The 16,778-nt window shown below is 41.5% G+C and overlaps 2 protein-coding genes across 12 annotated transcripts in view; one reads left to right on the top strand and one right to left on the bottom strand.

The window, feature by feature from the left end:
* The window catches only part of ADCY10 (adenylate cyclase 10), a 104,749-nt gene that overhangs the window by 21,126 nt on the left and 66,845 nt on the right, over positions 1–16,778 (top strand). For all 11 annotated transcript variants that reach the window (NM_001167749.3, XM_011509762.4, XM_011509763.4 and 8 more), the window contains 4 exons: positions 9,381–9,572; positions 12,400–12,518; positions 12,818–12,894; positions 14,374–14,563. In NM_001167749.3, coding sequence (NP_001161221.1) covers positions 9,381–9,572; positions 12,400–12,518; positions 12,818–12,894; positions 14,374–14,563 — 578 coding nt within the window. The remainder of the gene's footprint in view (positions 1–9,380; positions 9,573–12,399; positions 12,519–12,817; positions 12,895–14,373; positions 14,564–16,778) is intronic.
* Positions 1–16,778, bottom strand: part of DCAF6 (DDB1 and CUL4 associated factor 6) — a 212,261-nt gene that overhangs the window by 182,828 nt on the left and 12,655 nt on the right. The window lies entirely within an intron of this gene.

Below are 16,778 nucleotides of genomic sequence, written 5' to 3'. Positions count from 1 at the left end.
AGTTCATGTATTTATTCTTTACAGTCCTTGGTAGATATTTTTATCCTCATTTTATATGCATGAGAAAACTGAGACCCAGAGAACACTACAGCCTTTCCTGAGGTTGTCAAGTAAAAGATATAGCTAGGATTTGGACCCTGGTCTATCTGACTTCTACAATTTTTGCACAGGCTATCCACCCTCCTAATATATGCCTGCTTTAATACTTAGTCCCATCAAAATGCTGTTGTGTCCTGGAGGAAATCTTTGTAACAAAGGCCTGTCCAGTGGGTAGCTGCCTTCATAGAGTGAATTGGAGAGGTATCAGAATGCACCCTGCCACCTTCAGCCCATTGTAAAAACATTACCCCTAGTGCCTGCATTGCTTGACTCTTCATGGCTTTTGAAGCTTAAAAAAGTCACCCCATTCTCCCGCAGCCATTCTCAAGAGATATAATACATTATGCTTCTTTAATTGCAACCAGTTGAAAACAAGGTCTTTAGCAATGGAATATAAGATGGACTCTGTGAGTCACTGGGAAAATTCCAGGTAGGAAAAATGTTTACCTGGTGAAGAGGTACAGCTAAGAGGGTTGAAAATAAGACCAAAGACAACCTTTTACAACTTTACCAAAACCAGACCCTGAACCCAAAGAAGAGAAGTCCTTAAAGATACCGTAGTCCTCTTTTCCAAGCCAAAACTCAGAATACATAGTCTGACAGAAGTTTTTTATTTATTTGTGAATGATTTTATTTGAAAAATCAAGGCCAGGCTCATGCCTGTAATCCCAGCACTTTGGGAAGCCCAGACAGGTGGATCACTTGAGCCCAGGAGTTCAAGACCAGCCTGGACAACATGGCAAAACCTCATCTCCACAAAAATACAAAAATTAGTTGGGTGTGGTGGCACGTGCCTGTAGCCCCAGCTACTAGGGAGGCTGAGGTGAGAGGATCACTTGAGCAAGGAGACGGAGCTTGCAGTGAGCCGAGATTGCTCCACTGCACTCCAGCCTTGGGGACAGAGCAAGACCCTGTCTCTAAAAAAAAAAAAAAGAAAAGAAAAAAATTAGCACATTGGTTAATTAGAAATTATTAAATCTCTTTTATAAAAAGAATAAAATTACATGAAACCAGGACCTTCTAGGCAATTAGGAAGCATGGCTGCATTATTCCCTATACCAATTCCTTCTTTAATCTAGAAAATGTGTTTCACATTGTCGTTGAAGAATCTGACACTTCTGTGCTATTTCGGGGAGAAAGTGCAGTGATTTTCCCCCATTGATTTGCTATGTATTTAATTAACAAAATTCAGGGATGATGATTGGCAGGGATAATTTGGGAACACTCTCCTTTCTTTCTTTTTTTTTTTTTTTTGAGACAGAGTCTCATTCTGTCGCCCAGGCTGGAGTGCAGTGGCGCAATCTTGGCTCACTGCAAGCTCCGCCTCCCGGGTTCATGCCATTCTCCTGCCTCAGCCTCCTGAGTAGCTGGGACTACAGGCGCCCGCCACCACGCCCGGCTACGTTTTTGTATTTTTAGTAGAGACAGGGTTTCACCGTGTTAGCCAGGATGGTCTCGATCTCCTGACCTCGTGATCTTCCCGCCTCAGCCTCCCAAAGTGCTGGGATTACAGATGTGAGCCACTGCGCCCGACCCAACACTCTCCTTTATTTTCCCTGTGCCTGTTGTGTTGGAGAGAAGAGGGGAACTAAATGAAATATACCACCACCCCAGAGAGGCAGGAGAGTGTGGCAGATTAAATGTTAGATGAGCCAAGCGTGATGGCTCACGCCTGTAATCCCAGCACTTTGGGAGGCCGAGGTGGGTGGATCACCAGGTCAGGAGTTCAAGACCAGCCTGACCAACATGGTGAAACCTTGTCTCTACTAAAAATACAAAAATTAGCCAGGCGCGGTGGCACACACCTGTAATCCCAGCTACTCAGGAGGCTGAGACAGGAGAATCGCTTGAACCCAGGAGGCGGAGGTTGCAGTGAGCCGAGATTGCGCCACTGCACTCCAGCCTGGGTGACAGAGCGAGACTCTGTCTCAAAAAATAACTAACTAACTAAATAAATAAATAAATGTTGGATGAGGAGTCTGGAGATTTGGATTCTAGTTTATTGTGTCCTTATGTGACCTTGGGAAAGCTGTGTTACTTCTCCATACATCAGTTATCTAATCGGTAAAATGGGGATAATAATACTGATTTCATTTTGTTTGAACGTAGAGTAGGACAGAATGTGAAAACATTCCAGAAGATACCTAATGAAAATGGAAGTTTGAATTACATAGCATGCTATTCTTATCCCTAACTATAAAAATAAGAGAGCCAAACTCCCAGATGGCATCTGTGGACCTGCCTGGGGCCTGGAGGAACTCATCACCCTGAAGGGAAAGACACAAACCTGGCTGGCTTTGCACCTGCTGATTGTAGAGTGCTAGAGCCTTGAACAAAAATAGGTGGTAGCCTGGTAGTAGTCACAGTGGGCCTTGGGCAATATCCAGTGCTGTGCTAGCTTCAGGTCTGACCCAGTGCAGTCTCAGTGATGGTAGCCACAAGGGTGCTTGTGTGACCCCACCCCCAGCTCCAAGCAGCTCAGCACAGAGAAATAGAGACTCCATTTGTTTGGGAGAAAGTAAGGGAAGAGAACAAAAGTCTCTGCTTGGTAATCCAGAGAATTCTTCTGGATCTTATTTAAGACCACAAAGGTGGTACCTCTATAAGTCTGCAAGAACCATAGCATTACTGCACTTGCGGTGCTCTGTAATATAGATATGGCTTAGATCACAACACCCAAGTTTTTTTGAATATATGGAAAGCCTTCCCAAGGAGGGCAGGTACAAACAGTCCTAAATGTCAAAGACTACAATAAATACCTAACTCTTCAATGTCCAGACACTGACGAACTTCCACAAGTATCAAGACCATCCAGGAAAACATGACCTCACCAAAGGAACTAAATAAGGCACCAGGGTGGAGAGACAGAGATATGTGACCTTTCAGACAGGTAATTCAAAAAAGCTGTTTGAGGAAACTCAAAGAAATTCAAGATAACACAGAGAAAGAATTTAGAAACTTTCAGCCATGTTAACTAAGAACAGAAGAGAAAAGACCCAAATAAATAAAATCAGAAATGAAAGAGGAGACATTACAACTGATAATACAGAAATTCAAAGGATCATTGGTGGCTACTATGAGCAATTATATGCCAATAAATTGGAAAATCTAGAAGAAATGTATAAACTCCTATACACATACATCCTACCAATATTGGACCCTGAAGAAATCTAAAACCTGAACAGATAAATAACAAGTAACAAGATCTGGGACCCGAAGTATTCACTGCTGAATTCTACCAAAGACTTGAAGAACTAATACCAACCGTACTCAAACTACTCTGAAACATAGAAGAGGAGGGAATACTTCCAAACTCATTCTACAAGGCCAGTATTACCCTGATACCAAAACCAGACAAAAGTACATCAAAAAAAGAAAGCTACAGGCCAGTATCTCTGATGAATATTGATGTAAAAATCCTCAGCAAAATACTAGCAAACTGGGTTCAACAACATATTAAAAAGATCATCCATCATGATCAAGTGGGATTTATCCCAGGGATGCAAGGGTGGTTGGACATATGCAAATCAAACACTGTGATATGTCTTATCTACAGAATGAAGGACAAAAACCATATTATCATTTCAGTTGATGCTGAAAAAGCAGTTGATAAAATTCAACATCCCTTCATGATAAAAATTCCCAAAAAACTGTGTATAGAAGGAACATACCTCAACATAAGAAAAGCCATATAGAATAGACCGACCACTAGTATCATAATGAATAGGGAGAAACTAAAAGCCCTTCCTCTAAGATCTAGAACACAAGGATGCCCACTTTACCACTGTTTTTCAACATAATACTGGAAGTCCTATGTAATCAGACAAGAGAAAGAAAGAAATGGCATACAAATTGGAAAGGAAGAAGTCAAATTATCCTTGTTTTCAGATGATCTTATTATATTTGGAAAAACCTAAAGACTCCACCAAAAAACCATTAGAACTGATACACAAATTCAACAAGGTCACAGTATACAAAATCATCATACAAAAATCAGCATTTCTTTTTCTTTCTTTTTCTTTTTTTTTTTTTTTGAGACGGAGTCTCCCTCTTTCGCCCAGGCTGGACTGCAGTTGCGCTGTCTCGGCTCACTGCACGCTCCGCCTCCCGGGTTCACTCTATTCTCCTGCCTCAGCCTCCTGAGTAGCTGGGACCACAGGCGCCCGCCACCACGCCCCGCTAATTTTTTGTGTTTTTAATAGAGACGAGGTTTCACCGTGTTAGCCAGGATGGTCTCGATCTCCTGACCTCGTGATCCGCCCGCCTCGGCCTCCCAAAGTGCTGGGATTACAGGCGTGAGCCACCGCGCCCGGCCCAAAAATCAGCATTTCTATATGCTAACAGGGAACAATCTGAAAAAGAAATCAAGAAAGTAATCCTGTTAACAATAGCTAAAAATAAAATAAAGTACCTAGTAATTAACCAAAGAAGTGAAAGATCTCTACCGTGAAAACTATAAAATGTTGACACAAGAAGTTGAAGAGGCCACAAAAAAAAAATGAAAGATATTCCATGCTTATAGATTGGAAGAATGTTCATACTACCCAAAGCAATCTACAGATTCAATGCAATACCTAACAAAATACCAATGACATTCTTCACAGAAATAGAAAAAAAAAATTCTAAAATTTACATGGAACCACAAAAGACCCAGAGTAGCCAAAGCTATCTGAAGCAAAAAGAATAAATCAGGAGGAATCATATTATCTGACTTCAAATTATACCACAGCTATAGCAACCCAAATAGCATAGTACTGGCATGAAAACAGACACATAGACCAGTGGAACAGAATAGAGAAACAAGAAATAAACTCATACATCTACAGTGAACTAATTTTTGACAAAAGAGCCAAGAATATAAAGGAAAAGACAATCCCTTCAATAAATTGTGCTGGGAAAACTGGATATCCATATGCAGATGAATGAAACTAGACTCCTATCTCTTGCTATATACAAAAATCAAGTCAAAATGGACTTTGAGACATCAAACCATGAAACTACTACAAGAAAACATTGGGGAGACTCTCAAGGACATTGGAGTGGGCAAAGATTTCTTGAGTAATACCCCACAAGCACAGGCAACCAAAGCAAAAATGGACAGATGGGATAACATCAAGTGTTTTTTTTTTTTAGAATTATTTTATCAGATAAAAAATTAGTTTCATTGATGAGTTTTTTTAATCTTTTATTTTTATATTTATTTATTTATTTTTATTATACTTTTAAGTTCTAGGGTACATGTGCACAATGTGCAGGTTTGTTACGTTATGTATACATGTCCCATGTTGGTATGCTGCACCCATTAACTCATCTTTTACATTAGGTATATCTCCTAATGCTATCCCTCCCCCTTCCCCCCAGCCCACGACAGGCCCTGGTGTGTGATGTTCCCCACCCTGTGTCTAAGTGTTCTCATTGTTCAATTCCCACCTATGAGTGAGAACATGTGGTGTTTGGTTTTCTATCCTTGTGATAGTTTGCTCAGAATGATGGTTTCCAACTTCATCCATGTCCCTACAAAGGACGTGAACTCATCCTTTTTATGGGTGCATAATATTCCACTGTGTATACATGCCACATTTTCTTAATCCAGTCTACCACTGATGGACATTTGGGTTGGTTCCAGGTCTTTGCTATTGTGAATAGTGCCACAATAAACATACATGTGCATGTGTCTTTATAGCAGCATGATTTATAATCCTTTGGGTACATACCCAGTAATGGGATGGCTGGGTCAAATGATATTTCTAGTTCTAGATCCTTGAGGAATCGCCACACTGTCTTCCACAATGGTTGAACTAGTTTACAGTCCCACCAACAGTGTAAAAGTGTTCCTATTTCTCCACATCCTCTCCAGCACCTGTTGTTTCCTGACTTTTTAATGATTGCCATTCTAACTGGTGTGAGATGGTATCTCATTGTGGTTTTGATTTGCATGTCTCTGATGGCCAGTGATGATGAACATTTTTTCATCTGTCTGTTGGCTGCATAAATGTCTTCTTTTGAGAAGTGTCTGTTCATATCCTTTGCCCACTTTTTGATGGGGTTGTTTGATTTTTTTCTTGCAAATTTGTTTAAGTTCTTTGTAGATTCTGGATATTAGCCCTTTGTCAGATGGGTAGATTGTAAAAATTTTCTCCCATTCTGTAGGATGCCTGTTCACTCTGATGATTTCTTTTGCTGTTCAGAAGCTCTTTAGTTTAATTGGATCCTGTTTGTCAATTTTGGTTTTTGTTGCCATTGCTTTTGGTGTTTCAGTCATGAAGTCCTTGCCCATGCCTATGTACTGAATGGTATTGCCTAGGTTTCTTCTAGGGTTTTTATGGTTTTAGGTCTAACATTTAAGTCTTTAATCCATCTTGAATTAATTTTTGTATAAGGTGGAAGGAAGGGATCCAGTTTCAGCTTTCTACATATGGCTAGCCAGTTTTCCCAGCACCATTTATTAAATAGGGAATCCTTTCCCTATTTCTTGTCTTTTTCAGGTTTGTCAAAGATCAGATGGTTGTAGATGTGTGGTATTATTTCTGAGGGATCTGTTCCATTCCATTGGTCTATATTTCTGTTTTGGTACCAGTACCATGCTGTTTTGGTTACTGTAGCCTTGTAGTATAGTTTGAAGTCAGGTAGCATGATGCCTCCAGCTTTGTTCTTTTTGCTTAGGATTATCTTGACAATGCAGGCTCTTTTTTGGTTCCATATGAACTTTAAAGTAGATTTTTCCAATTCTGTGAAGAAAGTCATTGGTAGCTTGATGGGGATGGCATGGAATCTATAAATTACCTTGAGCAGTATGGCCATTTTCATGATATTGATTTTTCCTATCCATGAGCATGGAATGTTCTTCCATTTGTTTGTGTCCTCTTTTACTTCGTTGAGCAGTGGTTTGTAGTTCTCCTTGAAGAGGTCCTTCACATCCCTATATAAGAAGCTGTAACAGCTCTATAGAAAAAAATCTAATAATCTGATTAAAAAATGGGTAAAAGGTCTGAATAAGGCCAGGCGCAGTGGCTCACAGCTGTAATCCCAGCACTTTGGGAGGCCGAGGTGGGCAAGTCACGAGATCAGGAGTTCAAGACCAGCCTGGCCAACATGGTGAAACCCCGTCTCTACTAAAAATACAAAAAATTAGCTGGGCGTAGTGGTGGGCGCCTGTAATCCCAGCTACTCAGGGGCTGAGGCAACAGAATCACTTGAACCCAGGAGGCGGAGGTTGCAGTGAGATGAGATGTGCCACTGCACTCCAGCCCAGGTGACAGAGTGAGACTCCGTCTCAAAAAAAAAAGATCGAAATAGACATTTCTCAAAGGAAGACATACAAATGGCAAACAAGTATGTGAAAAATATGTGAAAAGGTGCACAACATCACCAATCATCAGATAAATGAAAATCAAAACTACAATAAGATTATCATCTTACCCCAGTTAAAATGACTTTTATCCAAAAGACAGGCAATAACAAACGCTGGACAGGATGTGGAAAAAAGGGAATCCTTGTACACTGTTAATGAGAAAGTAAATTAGCACAGCCACCTTGGAGAACAGTTTGAAAGTTCCTCAAAAAGCTAAAAATAGAGCTACCATACAATCTAGAAATTCTACTCCTAGATACATACTCAAAAGAAAAGAAATCAATATATTGAAGAGATACCTACACTCCCATGTTTACTGCAGTGCTATTCACAGTAGTCAAGACTTGGAAGCAGCTTAAGTGTCCATCAACAGAGAAATGGATAAAGAAAATGTGGTACATATACACAACGAAGTACTATTCAGCCATAAAAAAAATGAGATCTGTCATTTGCAACAACGTGGATGGAAGTGGAGGTCATTATATTAAGTGAAATAAACCAGGTATAGAAAGAGAAACCACATGTTCTCACTTATTTGTGGGAGCTAAAAATTAAAACTATTGGGCTGGGCATGGTGGCTCATGCCTGTAATCCCAGCACTTTGGGAGGCCAAGGCAGGCAGATCATGAGGTCAGGAGTTCGAGACCAGTCTGACTAACACAGTGAAACCCCGTCTCTACTAAAAATACAAAAATTAGCCAGGCATGGTGGTGCATGCCTGCAATCCCAGCTACTCTGGAAGCTGAGGCAGGAGAATCGCTTGAACCCAGGAGGCAGAGGTTGCAGTGAGCCGAGATCGCGCCACTGCACTCCAGCCTGAGCAACAGAGCGAGACTCCGTCTCAAAAAAAAAAAAAAAAAAAAATTAAAATGATTGAACTCATGGGGGTAGAGAATATAAGGATGGTTACCAAAGGCTGGGAAGGGTAGTGGGGGATGAGGAGGAATTGGGGGTGGTCAATGAGTACAAAAAAAGAGAAAGAATGAGAAAGACCTAGTATTTGCTAGTACAACAGGGTAACTATAGTAAAAAATAATTTAATCATTGATATGGTTTGGATTTGTATCCCCTCCCAAATCTCATGTTGAATTATAATCCCCAATGTTGGTGGAGGGGACTGGTAGGAGGTGATTGGATCATAGGGGTGGATTATACCCTTGCTGTTCTCGTGATAGTGAATGAGTTCTCATGGGATCTGATTGTTTAAAAGTGTGTAGCACTCCCCCTGCTCTCCTCTGGCCATATAAGAAGTGCCTGCTTCTCCTTCGTCTTCTGCCATATTATAAGTTTGAGTCCTCCCCAGCCATGCTTCCTGTACAGCCCATGGAACTGTGAGTCAATTAAACCTCTTTTCCTTGTAAATTACCCAGTATCAGGTAGTTCTTTATAACAGTGGGAGAACGGACTAATACAACCATACATTTTAAAAATAACTAAAAGAGTATAATTGGATTGTTTGTAACACAAAGGATAAATGCTTGAGGGGATGAATAATCCATTTACCCTGATGTGATTATTACGCATTGCATGCCTGTATCAAAATATCTCATGTAACACAAAAATATATACATCTACTATAGACCTACAAAAATTAAAAAATTTTAAATTTTTTTAAAAATAGGAGAGCCAAAAAGAACAGTAGTTATTTCCCTTATTGCAATGGCTCATATTGGCATGAGGAAGCCAGCAGTTGGGGTAATGGAGTGGTTGCTGGCCAAAAATTAGCACATGCATAAGTCCCCACTGGAAGAGAGGGATTTTGATTATATTTCCATCTGCTCCACTTCAGGCATGCTGGCTCTGTCATGTTGTACCTCACCCATTCTGAGGTAGACATTCCCTAGATGATTTCGGGTATGAGGTGGGGGCGGTGTTGGGGGAGGGATCCACTGCCAAGGACACCTACAGAAAGCTGCTCTCTACTTTGCAGATTGATAACAAACAGCTTCAGGGCTATTTATCTGAGCTTCGCCCAGTGACGATTGTGTTTGTGAACCTGATGTTTGAAGACCAAGACAAAGCAGAAGAGATAGGCCCAGCCATCCAGGATGCCTATATGCACATCACTTCTGTCCTGAAGATCTTCCAAGGCCAAATCAATAAAGTCTTCATGTTTGACAAGGTAAGTGTGAACTATGGGATGGGAACCTACCAATAGTTTTAGGTTAGCATTCATGGACAAGCACATTGGTGAGAATAGACACAGGAAATTTAACCTAGAGGCTGGGCGTGGTGGCTCACGCCTGTAATCCCAGCTCTTTGGGAGGCAGAGGTGGGCGGATCACTTGAGGTCAGGAGTTCAAGACCAGACTGGCCAACATAGTGAAACCCTGTCTCTACTAAAAATGCAAAAATTAGCTGGGTGCGGTGGCACGTGCCTGTAATCTCAGCTACTCAGGAGGCTGAGGCAGGACAATGGCTTGAACCTGAGAGGCGGAGGTTGCAGTGAGCCGAGATCGCACCACTGCGCTCCAGCCTGGGCTATAGCGTGAGACTCCGTCTCAACTAAACAAAAAAAGAAATTTAACCTAGAAGGCCAGTCTTTGTTTATAATTATAACTTCTATGGTGGATATGGCACTTACTATGTGCCAGGCACTGTTCTCAGGACCTGATCTCTATTGACTCATTTCATCCTCATGACCACTCTGAGCAGTAGGTTGCTCTTGTCATTATCCTCATTATATAGATGAGGATGCTGAAACACAGATTAGGATACCAGGACAAGGCGAGATTACGTTTTGCTTATGATCATCAAGCTAGTAAGGGGGAGGCTGGGATTCAAACCCAGGCAGTCTGCCATCCCCGTCTGAGCTCACTATGCTGGGCTACCTCTCACTACGCTGGGCTACCTCTCACTACACATAAGTCTCCAGCTCAGTGCATGATGTATTACCCAGGGGTTTCAGGTCAGGAGTCTTTAGTAACCATCTTACCCCAGAAGCTTGTTTCCAAGAAAGCCCACTTGCCATGTCAACACCTCCAGTTCCCCTTTTATTTTCATCCATGGCAGGGAGGGGACTGCCTCTGGCTCCCAGGTGTTTTCGCTCTGTTCTTTTTTTTTTTTTTTTTTTTGAGACGGAATCTTGCTCTATTGCCCAGGCTGGAATGCAGTGGCATGATCTCGGCTCACTGAAACCTCCGCCTCCCGGGTTCAAGCGATTCTCTTGACTCAGCCTCCTGAGTAGCTGGGATTACAGGCATGCGCCACCACACCTGGCTAATTTTTGTATTTTTAGTAGAGATGAGGTTTCGCCATGTTGGCCAGGTGGGTCTCGAATTCCTGACCTCAAGTGATCCACCTGCCTCGGCCTCCCAAAGTGCTGGGATTACAGGCATGAGCCACTGCACCTGGTCTTCACTCTGTTCTTAATCAATTCAGAGAAAAGTGATGTGATGAACAAATGACCACAGATGCATATGTGAGAATTGATTTCCCATCTCAATTCCTTTTGTGTATTAAAAGCAGAGCACTTAATTACTGCCCCACATCCACTCACTCACTAATTCAACAAGCATTTACTGAGCATTTCATAGAAGACGAAAAGCTAGGGCTGGGCAGCAGAGATGAGTAACACATATATTGACACAACCAGGCAGGAAGCATGCATTCTATATGAGACGAACTAACTCTGTGCTATGGGAGTTCTGGAAAGGGATTACTTCCAGCCTGGTGTCTCCAGTACCTTCTTCAATACTGACCCATGGGTATCATAAGAAAAGAGTGTAGAATCTAAGAGAACAGTCTTTCGTGTCTTGCAGACATGGCTCCAAAGATTCCCAGCTGTGAGACTTAGCAAGTCATTGAACTTCTCTGAGCCTTGGTTTATTCCTCTTTGAATGGGGATAGTATTTGTCTCAAATGATTGTGGAAAGTTTTAAATAATGTAATATGTGTGAGGCACTTGGTGTAATGCCTATCTTAGAGTCAGTGTGCAATAAATGAGAGCTGTCATTCCATTGCTAGGGGGAATCAAAAGCTCTTGCCAGGCCGCTACATAAATTTGCAGGCAAAAGCTCCCTGCTTCCCCCAAAGGGGTTGCCCTCTTTGCACGTACCTAGAAGCAGTGTTTCCCCCTTCATGTCAAGGCAGATCCCAGTCCTTTTTAAGATCTAACAGTTGATCAAATTCTTTTGGAGAGGGTTGAAGAAATTGAGGTATTTTAGTGTTCTTTGCATTTTATCAGGATGTAACATGTCAAAAACTCAAAATTTCAACCCATCACCCTTTATTCACAATGCCCTTTTCTTACAGACAACAGCACCTGACTGAGGTCATTTTTTAAGTGACTAATACTACAAATGCCAAGTTTTAGAGTTGAATCATTGCATGGAACAGTTAGCTTTATGATAAGAAAACCTACTTACAGCCTAAGCCTTTATCCCTAAGAATAACAGTATCTGCAAAGTACTTTATAGTTTAGGATGACTTTTTGAATATATATAACACATTAATTCTTTTAGTAGCCAAAAACATCTCAGCAGGTCTACAGTATATCCATTTTCAGAGAGATAAACGGAAGTTCCTAGATTGTAATAGACTTATCTAAGTTTCCACACTTGAGAAGTGGCTTGAGGACAGAGACTTTCTGATTCCAGAGCTGGTGCCTTTTCCACTGCTCTGTGCTGCTGCTTCATAGACTTAAACTGAGCACTTTGCAGCATGGACCTTGGCCACAGGAGAGAGTAGGCCGAAGCATGCACACAGATAGCTCAGCCCTATTCACTATATCTGGAGCAAAACAAGCCCTTCTCAAGGCTCAAGCCCTCCTGTTGATGATGCAGTAGAAGTGTTTGAAGTGTACTAAAAATAAAATACTGTGAGAGAAATCATGATAAAATCTGATTCAGAAGCCAAAAATTGCCGCCGGCTCTCTGTTGAGCCTTCTGGCCAGTCCAGTTTAAAGCACACTGTCCATCAGCTGTGGTTGCTGTCTCTCTCCCTCACAGGGCTGCTCTTTCCTCTGTGTCTTTGGCTTCCCTGGGGAAAAGGTACCTGACGAGCTCACTCATGCTCTGGAATGTGCTATGGATATATTTGACTTCTGCTCTCAAGTCCACAAAATCCAGTGAGTATTGACCCTGGTCCCACCCAGCGGTCCCTGACCCTTTTGAGGCATAAGTAGGGAGGGCATGCAGGGAACAGGAAAGAAAGAAGAATTAATTAAGAACTTAGTCCTGTGTCTCAAACTGTTGTTCCTCCTTCGCATCTCCGGGCCATGTAGAAATGCCATAAACTAATTCCAACGGGTAGAGAAAATCCTTTCCCACCCTTTCCCAACCCAGACATTATTTCCCACCCTTCCCACTTTCTCTACGCTCATTATCTTTATTTCTTTCCCCACAAATCTTGTCTCCCCTGCACCAGAACTGTATCCATCGGTGTTGCCAGTGGGATTGTCTTCTGTGGGATCGTTGGACACACTGTGAGACACGAGTACACAGGTGTGCTGGGTCAGCTCATCTCCAGCTTTCTTTCTGCAAACACAGCACCTTGCCACTGGGCTTTGCGGGAGGAAGCACAAAAATGAGTGAGACATGAGCCCTGCCCTCAGAAACTTTAGAGTCTTCCAGATGGAGCCAAGCCATGGAGCCCTCAATGCTTGCAGAGTGTGCATTTCTGGGGCTATGTATGAGTAGAGAAATATGTAGTCATGAGAGGGGAGCAGTGGGAGGCTATATGTTGATGGAATGAGGGGCTCCTGTAATACTTTCCTGTTAACATTAAATAGTTACTTCTCTTAATTCCTGGAATAAGCTAGAACTCCTTAAAAATTATGAATGTTGATATTACTGAAAAATAATGACACTCTCAAAAGAGAGTAGTAATAAGTAAATCTTATCTCCAGATTTCACAACTCTATTACTTCCCTTTTCCATCCTATCAGGGTTTAAGATTTTCAGCAATAATGCATCTAAAATACTGAATATATGTAAAATACCACGATAGTTATGTCTGAAATGATACAATGTCTGAGATGTTCTTCAAAAGTACACAGGGTGGGGAGTGTATGGGGGTGAGGATGGGGCAGGATTAGCCATGGGCTAATGGCTTGTTGGGATGGGGTGATGGGTATATGGAAATTCATTATATTTTATTTTATGGTCAAATTTCTCCACAATAAATAGTTTTCAAAAAGAGTACCTTGTTCAGAAGTATTCAAGTTTATGTTAAAGTGACACATTTGCTACCTCATTTGTAGTAATATTAATTGAAGGCTTACAAGCAGCCAGCTGCTGTTGAAAGTGATAAACGTGTATTAACTAATTAATCTTCATAAACCACCCTCTCAGAGAGTTACTATTATCATCCCTATTTTATAGGTTAGAGAATGGAGGCATGAGGAGTTATTTAAAGTAATTGTCCCAAGTAGTTTGCACATAGTTAGGGGTAGAGCTGGTGTTCAACCCTGCACAGTCTGCCTTCAGAGCCTGTGCTTCAATCCTCCATGCACGCCTCTTCTAGCCCATTTACTAAATCGAGAAATCGCCAAATGAAGGTTTATTCATAGGAGCATGCAGACACAATTTTATGTCTCATATGGAGATCAGTACCCCAGGCCCAAGCATGTGCTTGTCCACCTTGTGGCAGAAGACCAACTGACACCTTCTCTGAGAGCCTTCAGTGCTGTGGCCATCCCACTTACAGAGCCTGCTCCATACTCAAGCCCCTTCCATCCCTGAGCAGGTCATTCTCTTGACCTCCCAAGTGAGGCAGAAACTTTGCTAATGGCTAACTAACTCCCTGCACATTTTGTGAATAGCCATTGGCTGAATATGGGTCTTGAGACTAGGCTTCTGTGTCACTCATGAACAGCAAAGGGAGTAAAGGGTAAAAATGCTATTTGGGGACAATGTTTCAGATTACATTCAGTTCAATGCCTGTTATTTCCCTGATCTTTGACTTTCTCTTTCTTGCTATAGTCATTGGTCAAAAAGTCAACTTAGCTGCCAGGATGATGATGTACTACCCAGGAATTGTGACCTGCGACTCTGTCACCTACAATGGGAGCAACCTACCAGCGTACTTTTTTAAAGAGCTTCCAAAGAAAGTTATGAAAGGTGTTGCAGATTCTGGACCATTGTATCAGTATTGGGGCCGTACTGAGAAAGTGTGAGTGTGGAGCATTAATTTTGAAGTATATTTTAGTAAAGAAGCGGGAGAATTATGATAGCAAAGCAGTCACCCATTTAAGATTTGGAGCCAGTTCAAAAAGTTGAAATCTATGCTTTCCCCAGACCAAGGCCCAGACTTCAAAATCCTTAATCTTTCCTCCATCTGACTGACACTATGGCATGGTGGAAAATCCCATTCTCTCCTCAGATCTGAGAATATGAGGGTAATTCTTCAAAGGTTGTACAAACCAAACAAAAAATCCTCTCATTTGAGTATCTATTTGCACCCAAATGGGCCCAATCACCAACCATTTAATATTATTTACTAATTATGTCAACTGTATGCCGAGGCATTGTTAGGGTTAAAAGAGTATAAGATATTATTTCTCCTCTAAGTCTTTAGTGAAATACATTCCCCAAAAGCTCAGCATAGATTTATGGGTGTCACTTTGAAGCTTAAAATCCTTCAATGGCTTTCAGTCATTTTCATGGTGATGTTCAAAATCTTTGCAGTGACATACAAGGTACCACCTGCCTTTCCAACCTCATCTCCTCCTGTTCCCCCTCCTCTGGGTTGTTTAAGTAGATTGTCCTCATCAGCACCCACCTAATCCTGGTCTATTGGGAAAACCGCAGTCAATTTTTGAAACCCAGCTCGAGGGATTCATAGACATTCCTCTATGAATTCCCCATCCCAGCTAGACAGTTAAGCTCTTTCCCCCTTTGTCTTCCTTCTTCCTCTTCCTTTTTTCCTCCTATAGCATATGCTTCTATTAGAACACTCCTTGCCCTATATCACAATTATTCACTTCCTACAGTTTTCACTTGTTACACTGTGAACTCTTTGAAGATACTAATTATTTCTTTATTCTTATATCCCCAGTGCTTGGTATACAGTAGGTCCTCAATAATGATGAATAAATGAATGGCACAGAGAGCAGAAAGTTGTTATTCATTAGATTAGCAAGCTGGAATCGAGGTCTTCAAGAGTCAGATAACAGAACCAGGGCTGCAGTTGGGTCAAGGTGTCTTTATTATTCCCTTCAGTATTCCTGAGGCTTAGCACTGTGCTTGGCATACATAGGCCATCAATAAAGTGCAGTTTGAATACATGAATGAATAATAATTTTTAGTGAGTACTTATTAAACATCAGGTACTTTACCTCAAAATATATAATCCAGTCTTAATATTGACCATACGAGATAGAAACTATTATAATTTCCATTTTATAAATTCAAAAACTGAGGCTCAGAGATGTTAAATGACTTGTCTATGGCCATATCTATAGTGAGCAATGGAGTCAAGATTCAGTCACAATAATGTGACCTTACGGGCAATCACAAAACTTCAGTGGTGTGCAAAAATAAACATTTATTTTTCTCACAAATGTGGGGTTCAATTGATCTTGGCTGGATTTGGTTGATCTTGTCTTGGCTTATTCACGTGCCTGGGGTTCAACAGACTGTTGGCCAACCTGGCGGCCTCAGTTGGGATAACTAGGGCAATCTGGCTCTATGTGTCTCATCTTCCATCCAGCATGTTTGTCCTGGCAATACTGGAGGAGCAAGAGAGCAGGCCCAATGCAAAAGCATTTTTCAAGCCTCTTCCTATGTCTTATGTTTGCAGATAGTCCATTGACAAAAGCATTCACAAGGCTGAGTCCAGAATGAGAGGACTCTGCCAAGTTACACAGCAAAGGGCACAGATACAGGTACTGGGGCCATTAATGCAATCAGTTTACTATGCAAACCCAGGACTATCTGATCCCAAAGCCTGTACTCTTCATGATTTTTCTGTACCACCTCTGCAGATAAAAGTGGAGAAATACACACACAGTATGAACAGGGCCTAGTTCCTGCCCAGAAAACTCACAATCAAGTGGGGAAGACCAACATACACAAACTTAGCTGTATGTTACATGGGAACCTTTGATATATGCTATAAGAGAGGCATAACAAAGTAGTATTGTAGTTCAGAGAAGGGCATAATCCATTTTGACTAAAAGGCTTCTTCAAGAGATAGTGTTATGGAGTGAGCAAACATATGCACCCTGGCCTATGTTTGGATACTGTCAGTATCCTGTGTTACCACCTGCTATGGGGTCTTGGGCAATTAAACTCTTTGTGCCTGAATTTCCTCACTGGCAAAATGAACATAAGAGTAGTACTTTTTTTTTTTTTTTTTTGAGATGGAGCTTTGCTTTTGTTGCCCA

Source organism: Homo sapiens, chromosome 1 (genome assembly GCF_000001405.40).
Source record: "Homo sapiens chromosome 1, GRCh38.p14 Primary Assembly".
In the NCBI taxonomy this organism is placed as follows: domain Eukaryota; kingdom Metazoa; phylum Chordata; class Mammalia; order Primates; family Hominidae; genus Homo; species Homo sapiens.
The sequence above is the reverse complement of the archived record's forward strand: the minus strand, read 5'-3'. Positions and strand labels throughout refer to the sequence as shown.